This window comes from Homo sapiens, chromosome 19 (genome assembly GCF_000001405.40).
Source record: "Homo sapiens chromosome 19, GRCh38.p14 Primary Assembly".
Classification (NCBI taxonomy): domain Eukaryota; kingdom Metazoa; phylum Chordata; class Mammalia; order Primates; family Hominidae; genus Homo; species Homo sapiens.
This window is the reverse complement of record NC_000019.10, coordinates 54,981,787-55,000,324: the sequence shown is the minus strand read 5'-3', so window position 1 is coordinate 55,000,324 and position 18,538 is coordinate 54,981,787. Positions and strand designations below refer to the sequence as shown.

Here is an 18,538-nt window from a genome sequence, read left to right as displayed (position 1 = left end):
AGCCTGGGCGATCTCAAAAAAAAAAAAAAAAAAAAAAAAAAAAAAAAAAAAAAAGACAGTCTCTCTGTTGCCCAAGCTGGAGTGCAGTGGTACCATCTCAGCTCACTGCAACCTGTGCCTCTTGGGTTCAAGCCATCCTATCCTCTGCCTCCCGAGTAGCTGGGACTACAGGCACCTGCCACCATGCTCAGCTAATTTTTGTATTTTTAGTAGAGTTGGGGTTTTACCATGTTGCCTAAACTGTACCTGGCTTGATTTGCTTATTTTTTATTTTTAAATATAAAATGAGGCCAGATGTGGTGGGTCATGCCTGTAATGCCAGCACTTTGGGAGAGTGAGGTGGGCAGATCACTTGAGGTCAGGAGTTTGAGACCAGCCTAGGCAAGATGGTGAAAGTCCATCTCTACTAAAAATATAAAAGTTAGTTGGGTGTGATGGTGCATCCCTATAATCCCAGCTACTCAGGAAGCTGACACAGGAGAATCACTTGAACCTGGGAGGCGGAGGTTACAGTGAGCTGAGATCGGGCCCCTGCACTCCAGCCTGAGCAATAGAGTGAGATTTTTGTCTAAAAAATAAATGAAGTAAATAATAAAATGTAATATTAAAGACTTTCATTTCTCTTTTTAATCCTTTTTTTCATTCCTCTTATTCTCAACCATGTTGATCTGATAGAGAAAAACATAACATCAGGTTAACCTTGTAATGGTATATAGCCATTGTGCAGTTTGAGATGCTTGTTGATTATCATACACAGAAAATGGAATTGCTGAGTACAGCTGGGCTATAGCTCTAATACCTGCTTACCCGCTCTATCACCCACTTTGGCAACTTCTACTCAGTGGACCCCGGAGTACCAGTTAAACAGAGGAGATGCAGGCCAGGCATGGTGGCTCACGCCTGTAATCTTAGCACTTTGGGAGGCTGAGGCAGGCGGGTCACCTGAAGTCAGGAGTTCGAGACCAGCCTGACCAATATGGAGAAACCCTGTCTCTATTAAAAATACAAGATTAGCCAGGTGTGGTGGCACATGCCTGTAGTCCCAGCTACTTGGGAGGCTGAGGGAGGAGAACCTCTTGAACCCGGGAGGCGGAGGTTGCAGTAAGCCGAGATAGCGCCATTGCGCTCCAGGCTGGACAACAAGAGTAAAACTCTGGCCGGGCGGGGAGGTGGGGGGGTCAGCCCCCCGCCCAGCCAGCCGCCCTGTCCGGGAGGTGAGGGGCGCCTCTGCCCGGCCGCCCCTAATGGGAAGTGAGGAGCCCCTCTAACCGGCCAGCCGCCCTGTCCGGGAGGGAGGTGGGGGGGTCAGCCCCCCATTTTGTTCTGTACTAAGAAAAATTCTTCTGCCTTGGGATCCTGTTGATCTGTGACCTTACCCCCAACCCCGTGCTCTCTGAAACATGTGCTGTGTCCACTCAGAGTTAAACGGATTAAGGGCGGTGCAAGATATGCTTTGTTAAACAGATCCTGAAGGCAGCACGCTCGTTAAGAGTCATCACCACTCCCTAATCTCAAGTACCCAGGGACACAAACGCTGCGGAAGGCCGCAGGGTCCTCTGCCTAGGAAAACCAGAGACCTTTGTTCACTTGTTTATCTGCTGACCTTCCCTCCACTATTGTCCTATGACCCTGCCAAATCCCCCTCTGTGAGAAACACCCAAGAATGATCAATAAAAAAAAAAAAAAAAAAAAAGGAAAAAAAAAAAAAAAAAAGAAAAAAGATGCACCCCAAAAAAAAGAGTAAAACTGTCTCCAAAATAAATAATAAATAAACAAACAAACAAACTTAAAGCTTAAAAAAACCCTTAGTGTCCATATGTCTTTTGACTTACAAAGTATCTTAGGCTGAGTTTCATGTTAAATAAACAAGTAATCTATGTTTCTTCTACATAAAGATTATTTTAAGCCAGCAGTAGAGTATATTGCTTGTGAGAATTTCTGAAGTTCCCACATTCCTAGGAAGGGGCTTCTTGGTTCTTTGATGCCATGGTATCAAAATACAACTCAGGCCGGGTGCGGTGGCTCATGCCTGTAATCCCAGCACTTTGGGATGCTGAGGTGGGCAAATCACGGAGGTCAGGAGTTTGAGACCACCCTGGCCAACATGGCAAAACCCTGTCTCTACTAAAAATACAAAAATTACCTAGGTGTGGTGGTGCATGCCTGTAATCCCAGCTACTTGGGAGGCTGAAGCATGAGAATAGCTGGAACCTGGGAGGTGGAGGTTGCAGTTAGCAACCACTGCACCCCAGCCTGGGCAACAGAGTGAGACTCCATCTCAGAAAAAAAAAAAAAAAAAGAAAGAAAAAACAAAACAAAACCCCAAAACCCTGACAAAATGCAACAAACAAAACACAGCCCAGTGACAAATGGCTATCATGAGCAGGTAGACGGCAGCCGTGGCTGGGTGCAATGGTTCATGCTTATAAACCTACCTACTCAGGAACTGAGGCAGGATTGCTTGAGCCCAGGAGCTGGAGCGAGCCTGCAGCGAGCCATCATTGTGCTGCTGGACTCCAGCCTGGGGAACATAGTGAGTTCTTGCCTCAAAGGAAAAAAAAAAAAAAGGTGGCCGGGTGCGGTTGCTCACGCCTGTAATCCCAGCACTTTGGGAGGCCGAGGCGGGCGGATCACCTGAGGTCAGGAGTTTGAGACCAGCCTGACCAACATGGTGAAACCCCGTTTCTCCAAGTGAAATACAGAAATTGGCTGGGTGTGATGGCGGGAACCTGTAATCCAGCTACCAGATCAGTCTCCTACAGCAGGTCCATGTCATTATGCTTCCCCTAAACCTACCACTCTGGAGAAAGCCTGATGGGGAAGTAAATGGATCATACCTGAGTGTCCGGAGGGTGCCACTGGAACATGTCAAGGTTTCAAACAGCATCTTCACTCCACTAGACCCCAAGGGATTCTGACCCAGGTCCAGAGTGACGAGGCTCTGGTTGCAGCTGAGGGCAGAGCAGAGGTCTTCACAACTGAACGGAGGGATGGAACATCCCCACAACCTGGGGAAACACAGAAATCAACACGTTAATGCAGCCAGTGCTGATCGATGCCCTCCGGCAAGCCAAGCCCACCCTCGTGTGTTGGGGATCTGCATGACCAACAGAAGTCTCAGGCCGGGCACGGTGGTTCACGCCTGTAATCCCAGCACTTTGGGAGGCCGAGGTGGATGGATCACCTGAGGTCAAGGAGTTCAAGACCAACCTAACATGGTAAAACCGTGTCTCTACTAAATATACAGAAGTTAGCTGGGCGTGGTGACAGGCACCTGTAATCCCAGCTACTCAGGAGGCTGGGGCAGGAGAATCGCTTGAACCCAGGAGGCGGAGGTTGCAGTGAGCCGAGATCGCGCCATTGCACTCCAGCCTGGGTGACAGAGTGAGACTCCGGTCTCAAAAAACAAACAAAACGTCTCCGCCCTCAGGGCTCATCTGCTAACAGGAAAATATGGAGGCGATGAGGGGTTCTGAAGGGCAAGGGGTACAGGGAATAACTGGGGGTTCTGGCTACAATGGTTGGAGGTGAGGGGGTGAAGAGACCGAGTCATAGAGCTCGGGGGGGAGTTCTCCAGGCAGAGAAATAGCTTGTGCAGAGGCCCTGAAGATACATGTGACTGACACGTAAAATAGAACATCCAGGCAGCGGGCATGAGTGAGACAGGGAGGATTGTCAAGATGAGGTCATAGGTAAGCAGTGGCCAGCTCACAGAAGACCCTGAAGCCATCGTCAATATAGGATTTTACCTGGATTGACATAGGGAAGCACTGAGGCTTTTGAGCAGAGAGGTTAAATAACTTCCATCTTTGAAGTTATTCTTTGAGACAGTCTTGCTCTCTCGCCAGGGCTGGAGTGCTGTGGCATGATCTCGGCTCACTGTAGCCTCTGCCTCCTGGATTCAAGCAGTTCTCGTGCCTCCAAGTAGATGAGATTATAGCTATGTGCCACCATGCCTGCCTGATTTTTGTGGTTTTAGAGAGACAGGGTTTCACCTGTCTCTTTAGTAGAGACAGGCTGGTCTACGAACTCCTGACCTTAGGTGATCCACCTGCCTCGGCCTCCCAAAGTGCTGGAATTACAGGCATGAGCCACTGCACCCTGCCACTTTATTTTTTGAAACACGGTCTCACTCGGTTGCCCAGGCTGGAGTGTGGTAACGCCATCTTGGCTCACTGCAGCCTTGACCTCCTGGGCCAACCAGCAACTCAAACTTTTTGCTCCTCTACACGTGTCAGTGAGTGATTAAAAAGGCGCCTTTGTTTTTTTTGTTTTTTTTTTTTTTTTGAGACAGGATCTCACTGTCACCCAGGCTGGAGTGAGGTGACGTGATCTCAATTCGCTGTAACTTCTTCCTCCCAGGCTCAAGTGATCCTCCCACCTCAGCCTCCTGAGTAACTGGGAGCAGAGGTACACAGCCATGCTCAGCGGATTTTTGTACTTTCAGTAGAGACAGGGCTTCATTGTGTTGGCCAGGCTGTTTTTAAATTCTTGGCCTCAAGCAATCTACCTGCCTTGGACTCCCAAAATGCCAGGATTACAGGCATGAGCCACCTTGCCCATCCCGAGTCAAATTCTTTTAAGATTGCCTCCCAGATAGGATTCCAGGTTCAAGTGCATCTGATTGTAGCTAACTCACAAGGTATTTGTAAGATAGCCAAGTTGAGACCACTCACCTGCTGATAGAGCCAGCATTTTCTGGCACGATATCTAATTCCTACCTCTTTTTTATTTTTTCCTGAGATGGAGTCTTGCTCTTGTAGCCCAGGATGGAGTGTAGTGACAGGATCTCAGCTCACTGCAACCTCTGCCTCCAGGGTTCAAGTGATTCTCCTGCCTCAGCCTCCCAAGTAGCTGGGATTAAAGGCACCTACTGGCTGGGCACGGTGGCTCTCACCTGAGGTCCGGAGGTCGAGACCAGCCTGACCAACATGGAGAAACCCCGTCTATACTAAAAATACAAAATTAGCCAGGCATGGTGGCACATGCCTGTTTATTTGCAGCTATGTGGGAGGCTAAGGCAGGAGAATCACTTGAACCCAGGAGGTGGAGGTTGCAGTGAGCTGAGATCGCGCCATTACACTACAGCCTGGGCAACAAGAGTGAAACTATCTCAAAAAAAAAAAAAAAAAAAAAAGAGGCACCCACTACTATGCTCGGCTAATTTTTATATTTTAGTAGAGATGGAGTTTCAAGTTGGCCAGGCTGGTCTTGAGCTCCTGACCTTAAGTGATCCGCCCGCTTCGGCCTCCCGAAGTGCTGGGATTACAGGTATGAGCCACTGTGCCTGGCCCAATTCCCACCTCTCTGAATGTGGGGTGCTGGGCAGTGGCTTTTGGCTGAATGGCTTGAGGCACTGTATCCTTAAAATTTCACAGGTGTTCTTTGCATGACACAGACTAGAACTTAGACATAGGGCCTGGCGCAGTGGCTCACGCCTGTAATCCCAGCACTTTGGGAGGCCGAGATGGGCGGATCACCTGAGGTCAGGAGTTTGAGATGAACCTTCAACATGGCGAAACCCTGTCTCTACTAAAAATACAAGAATTAGCTGGGCATGGTGGCGGGCGCCTGTAATCCCAGCTACTCGGGAAGCTGAAGCAAGAGAATTGCTTGAACCTGGGAGGCGGAGGTTGCAGTGAGCCAAGATCACGCCACTGCACTCCAGCCTATGTGACAAGAGCAAAACTTCAAGAAAAAAAAAAACAAAAACTTAGACATAGACTAGAACTTATTCCTTTAACCATCCTAGTAAATGCTCGATCGACTCTATAAAGGTCCTCTCAATTATATAACTTGGGAAGTCGGCTTCACTGATTATTTTACACTAGCCACAGATTCAGTAAGGTGTAAGTATAGGAAGTTGAACTTATAAGTTAACTCACCACAGACATCTCAAGTTGCACAGTGGTTTCCTCAAAGCCTCACACAGGAACTTCATTCCCTTAACTCCTATGTGATTCAGCCCCAGATCCAAACACAACAGGCTTGATTTTTCTTGGAGAAGCTTTGTGAGATCGCAGCAGCCATCGCTAGTTATGTCGCAGTTCCAAAGCCTAGAAATCAACCACAGGAAGAAAGCAAACCCGAACCTGTGAGTTCTCACTGCTGTGATGCACCTTTGACTCTTGAGCCGTGGGTTAGACACACTTAGAGACAGTGGTGACATGGAAATGGAATCATGGGGTGGTGTGGTGGACAGAAGAATGGCCTCCCCTAAAGATGTCCAAGTCCCAACTCCTGGCACCTGCGAGCAAAAGGGACCTCGTAGAGGTGACTGAGCATCTTAAGATGGTTTATATCCTGGTTTATTTGGGTAGGTCCAGCAATCACAGGGATCCTCATAAGAGGGAGCTGAGAGTCAAAGCCAGCAGGAGGTGACGTGATAAGGGAGCCAGGGCAACGTTTGAAGATGCTCTGCCGAAGTTGGAGGAAGGGCCACAAGCCAAGGAATGCAGGTGGCCAACAGAAGTTGGAGAAGTAAAAAGGATTCTCAGCTGGCACGGTGGCTCACTTCAACCTCCGCCTCCTGGTTTCACGCGATTCTTGTGCCCCAGCCTTCCGAGTAGCTGGGATTACAGGGGGGTGTGTGTGTGTACACACATGCGCGTGCCACCACACCCAGCTAAGTTTTGTATTTTTAGTAGAGACAGGGTTTCCCCATGTTGGCCAGGCTGGTCTTGAACTCCCGACCTCAGATGATCTGCCCACCCTGGCCTCCCTAACATGCTGGGATTACGATTGTATTTGCTAAATTCAGTTGCTAGAGAGGTAGTGTCTTACAGGCAGAAGACACCAGCTCACACTCCAACATATCTGGTACTAGGATCCTAGATATTAACCAACACAGATTATCAGAGATATTTCACCTTAGCTCTGTTTTCTTTCTTCTGTCTCAATAGAGTTCTAAACTTAATTATAATTTGAACTATAATGCCCATGTATCTCTGGGTCCCAAGTGAAGCATACCACTAGCTGAGGGACACAGGACCTGGAAGGGCCTTGGAAATAGATGGCAGATTGGAGTCCATGACGATGGAGAAGTGAAAACACACCCCCAAATCTTGAAACTTTATGAATGTATAGAAACTTTTTTTTTTTTTTTTTTGAGACAGTCTCGCTCTGACACCCAGGCTGGAGTACAGTGGCACAATCTCAGCTCACTGCAACTTCCGCCTCCCAGGTTCAAGCAATTCTCTGCCTCACCCTCCCAAGTAAGCTGGGATTACAGGCTCCGACACCACGCCTGGCTAATTTTTGTATTTTTAGTAAAGACAGGGTTTCACCATGTTGGCCAGGCTGGTCTTGAACTCCTGACCTCATGATCCACCTGCCTCGGCCTCTCAAAGACCCTACCCGGCCTTCTAGAAACTTCCATGACTGTAATGGAGGAAAACCCACATAAGACTAAAGGGAAGTTGACAACTTAGCAAAATAGGGGCATGGATCAAAAAGTTGAATTGAGGGGGCCGGCACGGTGGCTCACACCTGTAATCCCAGCACTTTGGGAGGCTGAGGTGGGTGGATCACCTGAGGTCAGGAATTCGAGACCAGCTTGACCAACATGGTGAAAACTCGTCTCTACTAAAAATAAAGAAGTTAGCTGGGCGTGGTGGCATGCACCTTAATCCCTGGGAGGCTGAGGCAGGAGAATCACACCTGAACTCAGGAGGTGGAGGTTGCAGTGAGCTGAGATGGAGCCACTGCATTCCAGCCTGGGCGACAGAGCAAGACTATCAAAAAAAAAAAACCAAAAAAAAAAAAAAAAGAAAACCCCCCCCCCCCCAAAAAAATACCACACACACCACACACCACACACACACACAACCAAAAAAACTAGACATTCATTTGAAGATACAGTTAGTGAGTCGGTGACATCTCACTGCTTGTGGGACTTCTTTTTTAATGTTTCAGGGCCTAGATATAGTGGGTGTGGGAAGAATCCTTTCCTTCTACTCATCGTCTCCAGCCATGAACTGAATATGTCATTAAATTTAAGTGGGTAGTTTTCAGATGCCAGGTACATATCCTAGATTAGTTACTTCATAGGAAGAGGACAGTTCCTAACTGTTGGAGGTGATGTTAGAGACAAAGAATACCAGAGATATGTATGGCTGGACGCAGTGGCTCATGCCTGTAAATCCTAGCACTTTGGAAGGCTGAGGCGGGCGGATCATGAGGTCAGTTCGAGACCAACCTGGCCAACATGGTGAAATCCCATCTCTACTAAAAATATAAAAATTAGCCCGGCGTGGTGGTGAGTGCCTGTAATCCCAGCTACTCAGGAGGCTGAGGCAGGAGAATCAACCTCCTTGAAGCCGGAGGTTGCAGTGAGCCTAGATCATGCCATTGCCAGCGTGGGCAAGAGTAAAACTCCATCTTAAAAAAAAAAAAAAAAAATACCAGAGATGTTAACATAAAATCGAATCTCTGAACAGAAACCATCAGTGCAGATACAATTTTTTTTTTTTTTTGAGACAATCTCGTTCTGTCACCCAGGCTGGCACGATCTCGGCTCACTGCAACCTCCCGACTTCAAGCGATTCTCCTGCCTCAGCCTCCCAAGTAGCTGGGATTACAGGACCATACCACCACGCCTAGCTAATTTTTGTATTTTTAGTAGAGACAGGGTTTCACTGCATCAGCCAGGCTGGTCTCAAACTCCTGACCTCAGGTGTTCTGCCCGCCTCCTAAAGTGCTGAGATTACAGGCATGAGCCACCATGCCAGGCCCCAATTCCTTTCTAAAGATTTGTCCTATAATTTTTTTTTTTTGAGAGAGTCTTGCTCTATTGGCCAGACTGGACTTCAGTGGTGCCATCTCAGCTCACTGCAACCTCCACCTCCGAAGTTCAAGTGATTCTCCTGCCTTAGCCTCCTGAGTAACTGGGATTACAGGCATGTCCCACCATGCGTGACTAATTTTTGTATTTTTAGTAGAGAGACAATGTTTCACCATGTTGGGCAGGCTGGTCTTGAACTCCTGCCCTCAAGGGATCTGCCTTGCTTCGGCCTCCCAAGGTGATGGGATTATAGGCGTGAGCCACTATGCCAGGCCACGTGTCCTGTGATTTTAGTATTAAAAGGAGGATCACATTGAGCATGTAGCTTCCAATAGCTTCCATTGGGAGTCTGAGCGTACACTGGCCCAGAAGACTACCTGATTTGCAAATCATTCATTAAAAAATAAGTAAATGAATTCCATTTACAACCAATTGCATGCAATTTATGTTACAGTTATAGTTCTAAGAACACAGATTAAGAGAAAACACAGCATGGGGTGACATGGCTCATGCCTGTAATTCTAGCACTTTGGGAGGCCAAGGCAGGCAGATCTCTTGAGCTCAGGAGTTTGAGACCAGCCTAGGCAACACGGCGAGATCCCATCTCTAAAATACATACATACATAAAGAGGAAAAAAAAAACCCGAAAACCAGCTACATTCCCCAAATCCCTATAGAATATTACTACTACTCTACTACTACTTATACTTTTTTCCTACCATCATCTACCCAGGTCTTACCAGTTGTCATTAGCATCATGCTTGGAACTTTTAGAGGAATTAAGTGTTCTCATAACCACCCTACTCAAACCCGGAGGTGGGGGGCGTGTGCATATACACCCACGCACACAGGCAGCCAGCACGGACTTACACCAAGGTCTGCAGTTTACACTCGGGGTACCTCAAGCCCTCACACAGAAACTTCACCCCTGTATTCCCAATGGGGTTCTTGGCCAAGCACAGGTGTGTCAGCTCCCGGCTGACAACCAACACAGCAGCAAGGTCCTTGCAATTGGCTTCTGTAAGGTGACAGTTTTCCAACCTACAAAAGAATCACAAATGGCAACACGGTTGACAGGTCCAACTTCAACCTTCCCGGCTAGCTCCACAAGTGCCAGCATCCAAAAGCCCCTTCTTGTGAACTCCCCACCTTCTATCATGCACTGGTGATCCTATGAAGGAATAGGAATGAGAGAAGAACAAAATTCACAGGCCATCGGCCTGGATCTAAACATGGGAACAGGTGTTCACATCAGCGAGAGGTTCCATACAGCCAAGTCAGGCATGACCATTGCTCGTCTGTGGCCCCAGATCGAAAGCACAGCTGCTCTGTAAGAGAGGAGAGACTTACGACAACCTCTGCAGAAAGCACTTGGGGTGTCTCAAAGTTGTGTACAGCAACTTAGCACCCTCATCCAGAAGCTCATTGTCGGAGAGGTTTACGCACGTCAGGGACTGGTTGACTTCAAGGGCCAAGGAGAGATCAGCCCACTGCTGAGTGGTAGCGGAACAAGACACCAACCTGTGGGAGAAATAGGACCACGTCATTTTTTTTTTTTTTTTGAGACTGAGTCTCACTCTTGTTGCCCAGGTGGCGCAATCTCGGCTCACAGCAACCTCCGCCTCCTGGGTTCAAGTGATTCTCCTGCCTCAGCCTCCCGAGTAGCTGGGACTGCAGGCATGCACCATGCACCAACATGCCCAGCTAATTTTGTATTTTCAGTAGAGGTGGGGGTCTCTCCATGTTGGTCAGGCTGGTCTCAAACTCCCAATCTCAGGTGATCTGCCCACCTCGGCCTCCCAGAGTGCTGGGATGACAGGCGTGAGCCACCGCGCCCGGCAGAACAAGTCATTCTTGAGAATCTAACCGTGGAATCGTCTTTGGTTTACATCTCACTGGTTGTGTTATACCCCGACTTGAATTATCTGGAGCAGCAGTTGTCAAAGGGTGGTCAGACCAGTGGCACCAACATCGCCCAGGAATCAGCTGGAAATACAGAACTTAGTCAATCTGACTCTAATGTTGGATGCAGACTCCGCTAACCTATGTTTCATTGTTTGGTTTTTTGAAAGGGAGTTATTTATGCTCTGTCGCCCTGGCTGGAGTGTAGTGGCGCGATCTCAGCTCACAGCAACCTCTGCCTCCCAGATTCAAGAGATTCTCCCGCCTCAGCCTCCTGAGTAGCTGGGATTACAGGCAAATGCCATCTTGCCTGGCTAATTTTTGTATTTTTTAGTAGAGATGGGGTTTTACCATGTTGGCCAGGCTGGTCTCAAACTCCTAACTTTGGCCGGGGCAATGGCTCATGCCTGTAATCCCAGCACTTTGGGAGGCCGAGGTGGGCAGATCAGGAGGTCAGGAGTTTGAGACCATCCTGGCCAACATGGTGAAACCCCGGCTCTACTAAACATACAAAAGTTAGATGGGCGTGGCGACACGTGCCTGTAGTCCCAGCTACTCAGGAGGCTGAGGCAAGAGAATCACTTGAACCCAGGAGGCGGAGGTTGCAGTAAGCCGAGATCACTCCACTGCACTCTAGCCTGGGCGACAGAGCAAGACTCCGTCTCAAAACAAAAAACTCCTGACTTCAAGCGATACACCAGCCTAGGCCTCCCAAAGTACTGGGATTACAGGCAGGAGCCACCATACCCAGCCCACTAACCTATGTTTCAAGGTGCCCTGTTCATCCGGAAAATGTGTTAGAATAAATTCATAAGAAATGAGTGGCTGGGCACAGTGGCTCATGCCTGTAATCCCAGGACTTTGGCAGGCCAAGGCAGGTGGATCATGAGGCCAGGAGTTTAAGACCAGCCGGAACAACATGATGAAACCCCATTTCTCCTAAAAATACAAGAATTAGCTGGGCGTGGTGGCACATGGCTGTAATCCCAGCATTTTGGAAGATGGATGTCACTTGAGGTCAGGAGTTCGAGACCAGCCCAGCCAACACGGTGAAACCCCGGCTCTACTAAATATACCAAAAATTAGCTGGGTGTGGTGGATTGCCCGAGGTCAGGAGTTTGAGACCACCCTGGCCACCAGCATGGCGTAACCCTGTCTCTACTAGAAATACAAAATACTAGAAATACAAAAATACAGGTGGGTGCCTGTAATCCCAGCTACTTGGGAGGTTGACGGAGAAGAATCACTTGAACCCGGGAGGCAGAGGTTGCAGTGAACCAAGATTGTGGCACTGCACTCCAGCCTAGGAGACAGAGCAAGACTATATCTTGAGAAAAAAAGAAAGAAATTAGTGACCCAAATCTTTAATTCACCCAATATTCCCCCTCACCCTGCATCCCATTATTCTCAGGCAAAAAGAAAAGAGGGTAATTGCAACGGTTAGTAATGATAGCAGCCACTATTGAATGCATGGGCTTGGTTTCATTCAACCTTCCAATACCTGTAAGATGTACAGCATCCTATTCAACTAAGATCCCATTAAGCAGCCTAAGATTGTATCAGTAGAGCCAGAGCAATCAATTTTTTTTCTGTCCTCGAGATGGAGTTTTGCTCTGTTGCCCAGGCTGGAGTGCAATGGCGTGATCTTGGCTCACTGCTACCTCTGCCTCCTAGGTTCAAGCAATTCTCTTGCATCAGCCTCCATGAGTAGCTGGGATTACAGGCACGCGCCACCATGCCCAGCTAATGTTTTTGTATTTTTAGTAGACGTGGGGTTTCACCATGTTGGCCAGGCTGGTCTTGAACTCCTGACCTTGTGATCCACCTGCCTTGGCCTCCCAAAGTGCTGGGATTACAGGCATGAGCTACCGCACCCAGCCAAGATTTTTTTTTTTTTTTTTGAGACAGTCTCACACTGTTGCCCAGACTGGAGTGCGGTGGTGTGATCTCAGCTCACTGCAACCTCCGCCTCTCAGGTTCAAATGATGCTCCTGCCTCAGCCTCCTGAGTAGCTGGGACTACAGGCGTGCGCCAACATGCCCAGCTAATTTTTGTATTATTAGTAGAGACAGAGTTTCACCATGTTGACCAGGCCGGTCTTGAACTCCTGACCTCAAGTGATCCACCCACCTCGGCCTCCCAGGCGTGAGCCACTGCGCCTGGCCCAGGGCAATAATTTGAGGCCAATGACCACCTACTACACCAGTGTGGCCAAGTGAGGCTTCATGGAACCCCATGATGCATGTAGGTTCTCATCGCCTGGGCAGCCACTGGACAGCTTCCCAAGGGGAGAGCTCTCAAACCAGAGGACTAACAGAAAAGGGGCAACTTGATGTTCCTGAAGGGTTCTTGCTTGAAAAATGTCAATAGCTGGTATTCTGAATCATCATACAGGAGAAGCATGAACCATGAGTGAATGATCTCTGATAGAAGATAAAGATTCTGGGCTGGGCACGGTGGCTCATGCCTCACTTTGGGAGGCCGACGGCGGGGTGGGGTGGGGGTGGGGGGGTAGATCACCTGAGGTCATGAGTTCGAGACCAGCCTGGCCAATGTGGTAAAACTCCATCTCTACTAATAATACAAAAATTAACCAGGTGTGGTGGTGTGCACCTGTAATCCCAGCTACTCAGGAGGCTGAGGCAGGAGAATCACTTGAACCTGGGAGGTGGAGGCTGCAGTGACCTGAGATCATACCAACGCACTCCAGCCTGGGTGACAGAGCGAGACTCCATCTCAAAAAGAAAAAAGAAAAAGAAAAAACCAAAACCAAAACCAAAACATAAGGACTCTGGCTGGGCATGGTGGCTCATGCCTATAATCCCAGCACTTTGGGAGCCTGAGGAGGGCAGGTCACCTGAGGTCATGAGTTCGAGACCAGCCTGGCAATGTGGCGAAACCAGCTCCACTAAATGCACAAAAATTAGCCGGGCGTGGTGGCGGGTGCCTGTAATCCCAGCAACTTGGGAGGCTGAGGCAGCAGAATTACTTGAACCCAGGAGACAGAGGTTGCAGTGAGCCAAGATCGTGCCATTGCACTTTGGCCTGGGCAACAGAGCAAGACTTCATAAAAAAAAAAAAAAAGATGATAAAGATTCTGGGAGTTTCTTTGGATTCAGGGTCCTCACGTATGGTTGTCCAGGGTGTTTACTGTTCAAGGCAAGTAGAAACTCAAGTTCAGCCCATGCTGCATCCTGGGTCATCTGCCCTTAGTACTGTTTCTAGTCAGAATAACGAACTTTTTCTTATTTACACAAAATTGCCACATAAGCTTGTGGTAGCTTATGTTTGTATGATGAAGGATTTTAATGATTAAGAGATATACCCGAGATATCGCAGGTTACATTCTGGATGTCTCAAGACCTCACACAATGCGGGAAACATATCATCCTGGTCATTGCCTTGAAGGGTCAGATACGTTACAGTCTTGTGACCTCGAAGAGCTAGGCAGAGGTTCCGATGAGCATCAGCTGGGGAAATGTTTTTGAACCTAGGGAAAAGAGAACGAAAGTGAAATCTTTAGTGTGTACACCTGTATCGTACTTAAATGGAAACCAGGGGCTCGATATATTTAAACTTTAGGAACTATTTTTTCCATGTTTAAATTTTTGTCCATCTTTACAGATTTTTTTTTTCTTTGAGATGGAGTCTCACTCTGTTGCCCAGGCTGGAGTGCAGTGGCGCGATCTCGGCTCACTGCAAAGCAAACTCTGCCTCCCGGATTCAAGCGACTCCTACCCTCAGCATCCGGAGTAGCTGGGATTATAGGCACCTGCCACGACACCTGGCAAATTTTTGTATTTTTCGTAGAGACAGGGTCTTGCACCATCTTGGCCAGGCTGGTCTTGAACTCCTGACCTCAAGTGATCCCCCCACCTTGGGCCCCCAAAGTGCTGGGACTACAGGCGTGAGCCATTGTGCCCGGCCCTTTTTTTCTTTTTCTTTTTTTTTTTTTTTTTTTTTGAGACGCAGTCTCGCTCTGTCACTCAGACTGGAGTCCAGTGGCAGGATCTTGGTTCACTGCAACCTCCGCCTCCTGGGTTCAAGTAATTCTCCTGCCTCAGCCTCCCAAGTAGCTGATATTACAGGTGCCTGCCACCACGCCTGGATAATTTTTGTATTTTTAGTAGAGGCAGGGTTTTGTCACGTTGGCCAGGCTGGTCTCGAACTCCTGACCTCAAGTGATCTGTCTGCCTCGGCCTCCCGAAGTGTTGGAATTACAAGTGTGAACCACCATGCCCAGCCCCTAGAAATTACTTTATACGATTATCCCACAAAATAAATTTAAGGACAGGACTCTCTCAATTCCCTGTGTCTCGAGCACTTAAGAGTCTAGTACAGGAATCTGAATATTGCTCCGATGTTAACATTGTACCATTTTCATACCCTAAGGATTTGAGTTCATGAATTAGTTTCTACTTACACCACTCTCTGGAGATGACAGGTGTCAGAGGCTATTTGTTCACACAGGATCCTTACTAGGGAGGCACTGAGAAAGCTATCATTGATTGCTAGACCCATCAGATCCTTATTTGATCCAAATATGGAACAAAGGTCCGTCCAGAAAGGAAGCATGTGCTGATCATCCTGGGATCTATAGGGAAGAGAAGAAAGGGTTACACCAAATGTGTGTCCATCACGGCTGAAGTATTTAGGGTTTCTCTGGGCATATACCCCTGACAAATGAGTACAATTGAAAGCTGGACCATGTAATCACTTATTAGCACCACCATCAGACAACTCAACACCCAAGAAGCATCACAGGAGAAAGAACCTATTCTTCTTAGACAAAAATCCAATAGAGGGTAAAAATAAGTTAAAATGCTAAGCACATCATTGATAAAAGATAGAGAATATAGACCGGGCACGGTGACTCACGCCTATAATCCTAGCACTTTGTGAGGCTGAGGCGGGTGGATCACCTGAGGTCGGGAGTTCGAGACCTGCCTGGCCAACATGGTGAAACCCCGTCTCTACTAAAAGTACAAAAATTAGCTGGGCATGGTCGTGGGTGGCTGTAATCCCAGCTACTCATGAGGCTGAGGCAGGAGAATCATTGAACCTGGTGGGGCGGAGGTTGCAGTGAGCCGAGATCGAGCCACTTCACTCCGACCTGGGAAAAAGAGTGAAACTCCGTCTCAAAAAAAAAAAAAAAGATTGGGAATATACATATCTATACATATCAATAAGAAATATTCAGGCAGGGCGTGTGGTAACTCATGCCTGTAATCTCAGTGCTTTGGGAGTTCAAGACCAGCCTGGACAACATAGTGAGATTTTGTCTTTCCAAAAAAAAAAAAAAAAAAAAAAACACAAAAAAAAACCCCCACTTAAGTTAGCTGGACATGATGGTGCACACTTAATACCTGTCATCCCAGGTACTCAGGAACATCACTTGAACCCAGAAGTTTGAGGATGCAGTGAGCTGATTTCACCACTGTACTCCAGCCTGAGCAACACAGCAAGACCCTGTCTTAAAAAAATATATTTGGGCCGGGCATGGTGAATCATGCCTGTAATCCCACTTTGGAGGCTGAGGCAGGTGGATCACCTGAGGTCAGGCGGAGTTCAAGACCAGACTGGCCAACATGCTGAGATCCCGTCTCTAATGAAAATATAAAAATTAGCCGGGCAAGGTGGCAGGCGCCTGTAGTCCCAGCTACTCAGGAGGCTGAGGCAGAAGAATCACTTGAACCCGGGAGGCGGAGGTTGCAGGGAGCCAAGATCGCGCCACTGCGCTCCAGCCTGAGCGACAGAGCAAGACTCCATCTCAAAACAAAAACAAACAAAGAGTCCAACAAGAGGGAATTCCTGACCCTAAGCCACAGTGCATAGGAGGCTCTGGCCTCTTCCTAAGGGGGCATGGGATGAGGCTAAAGATGGAACGACTGGTAGAGTGAAACGGTTCTCACCTCTCAACCTCGGCGTCTGATTCAGACGCAGTGACATTCTCCGGGAGATTCTCCTTTATTACCTGCAGTGACATTTTCTGCAGGTTTCGACAGTGCTTGACGCAGAATGAAGATGGCACAACGTCTACTGCATTTAAGTGCAGGGATATTTCTTTGAACTGAGCCATCACCTCCTTCACCAGCTCCTCCTCCTGAGACTCGTACAGACAGCCGAGGAGCTCCTGCAGGTCTGTCACCGTTGAATGTCCACCCTTACAACTTATGTCGCATCGCAGCAATTCCTGTTTGATGTCCGGTGACATCCGGCAGCCAAAAGTGGCCTCCAACTCCTTGGCTCTCTTCTCGTTAGCGAGGCCAAAGGAGTAGTAGCCTGCTTGGATCAGGTCGGGGTTCCTGAGTCTTTCTACTCCGGAAAGCAGCTTCTGTACGTCCCCAATGTCCCAGGTGTGGCCGTCCCTATCCTCTTCCTCCTCCTTCTCCAGGGTGTAGAACAGGGCAGTGAGAAACTGCTGGAAGCTGAGGTGGATGAAGGAGTAGCAGCCTTTGGAGACTCTGTCCTGGCGGAGGATGTCTCCGTCCAGGAACAGACGGAGGTCGGACTCCTGCACCCCGAGCCTTTCCAGATCCTCTCGGTGAAGCACGGACGTCTGCGCCCACAGGCCCTGCGCGGCCAGGAGGCTCAGCGTCCGCAGCGCGCCCCGCAGCTGTGCGCCCTGCGGGAACCGGCTGCAGAGGAAACGCAGGAACAGCCCCGTGCGGGTGAGGCAGGTGGGGACCGGGTCCTCCCCCTTCTCCATCTGCAGCTTCAGAGTCGTGCACACGATCCAGCACACCGCGGGGGCCGAGCCCAGCTGGAACAGGGCCGCGTTGCTCCTCATTAGCTCAAAGGCACGCATGGCTTGGTCCTCGTCTCCAAAGTGTCTCAGGAAATAGGCCCTCCTGTCCTCCTCCAGGAAGCCCTCCACCCTTATGTAGATCGGCTCCTCCGCCAGGATCCGGAGGTCCCTCAGGGCCCTGGGCCGCGTGGTGACCAGCAGGGCGGCCTTGGGTAACATCACCCTGTTCAGCAAACTCCCCAGGAGGACGGGCACCGGCTTCTTCTTCTCCCAGTCCCCGCAGATGTCCTCGATCAGCGCCCCAGGTGCGGCTCCCAGCTCATCAAAGCCGTCAATCACGAACAAGATTTTCCGTGCTTGGGCTAGGATGTGTGGAATGTCATCCTGCAATTCAGGCCAGTCCCTGAAGACCAGCTCTGCAAAACTGCACGGGCCCAGGCGGCTGAGCTCCCTGCAGCTGAGGTAGAACGCATATTTGAATTTGTGGATGAGGTTGTCCTCTGCCCAGTCTAGCATTAGTTTCTGGGCCAGCGTGGTTTTCCCAAGGCCTGCAGGACCATACAGCACCACCGTGTATGAGAAGGGCCCGGGAAGCACCCTGGGGTTGCTGAATGGGATCAGCATCTTGTATCTCTCAGCCATAACCTGGACCTCTTTGCTATCTCCAGGCCAGCTCTTCCACATCTCCCGGAACTTCGTCTTCAATATATACCTGCACCTATTGTCTTTGTCTTTATCATTGGTGAGGAGGGAAGGGAGAGAGGATGCAATCAGTTACCCATAGGGAAAACCAAAATAACAAAATGCCTTGTGTTGGCCGGGCACAGTGGCTCATGCCTGTAATCCCAGCCCTTTGGGAGGTCGAGGCAGGCAGATCACCTGACATTGGGAGTTCAACACCAGCCTGACCAACATGAAGAAACCTTGTCTCTACTAAAAATAAAAAATTAGCCAGTCATGGTGGCGCATGCCTGTAATCCCAGCTACTCGGGAGGCTGAGGCAGGAGAATTGCTTGAACCTGGGAGGCGGAGGTTGCAGTGAGTCGAGATCACGCCACGGCACTCCAGCCTGGGCAACAAGAGCAAAACTCCGTCTCGATACATAC

General features: G+C 49.0%; 1 protein-coding gene across 6 annotated transcripts in view; it reads right to left on the bottom strand.

Moving 5' to 3' along the window:
- NLRP2 (NLR family pyrin domain containing 2) overlaps window positions 1–18,538 on the bottom strand; it is a 35,855-nt gene that overhangs the window by 814 nt on the left and 16,503 nt on the right. For 5 of the 6 annotated variants that reach the window (NM_001174081.3, NM_017852.5, NM_001348003.2 and 2 more), the window contains 7 exons: window positions 16,597–18,163; window positions 15,108–15,278; window positions 14,010–14,174; window positions 10,133–10,303; window positions 9,653–9,823; window positions 5,886–6,056; window positions 2,838–3,008 (listed from right to left, as the gene is read on the bottom strand). In NM_001174081.3, coding sequence (NP_001167552.1) covers window positions 2,838–3,008; window positions 5,886–6,056; window positions 9,653–9,823; window positions 10,133–10,303; window positions 14,010–14,174; window positions 15,108–15,278; window positions 16,597–18,163 — 2,587 coding nt within the window. Of the gene's footprint in view, window positions 1–2,837; window positions 3,009–5,885; window positions 6,057–9,652; window positions 9,824–9,931; window positions 10,304–14,009; window positions 14,175–15,107; window positions 15,279–16,596; window positions 18,164–18,538 lie in introns of all 6 variants that reach the window. The other variant, NR_145325.2, reaches the window with a different exon arrangement.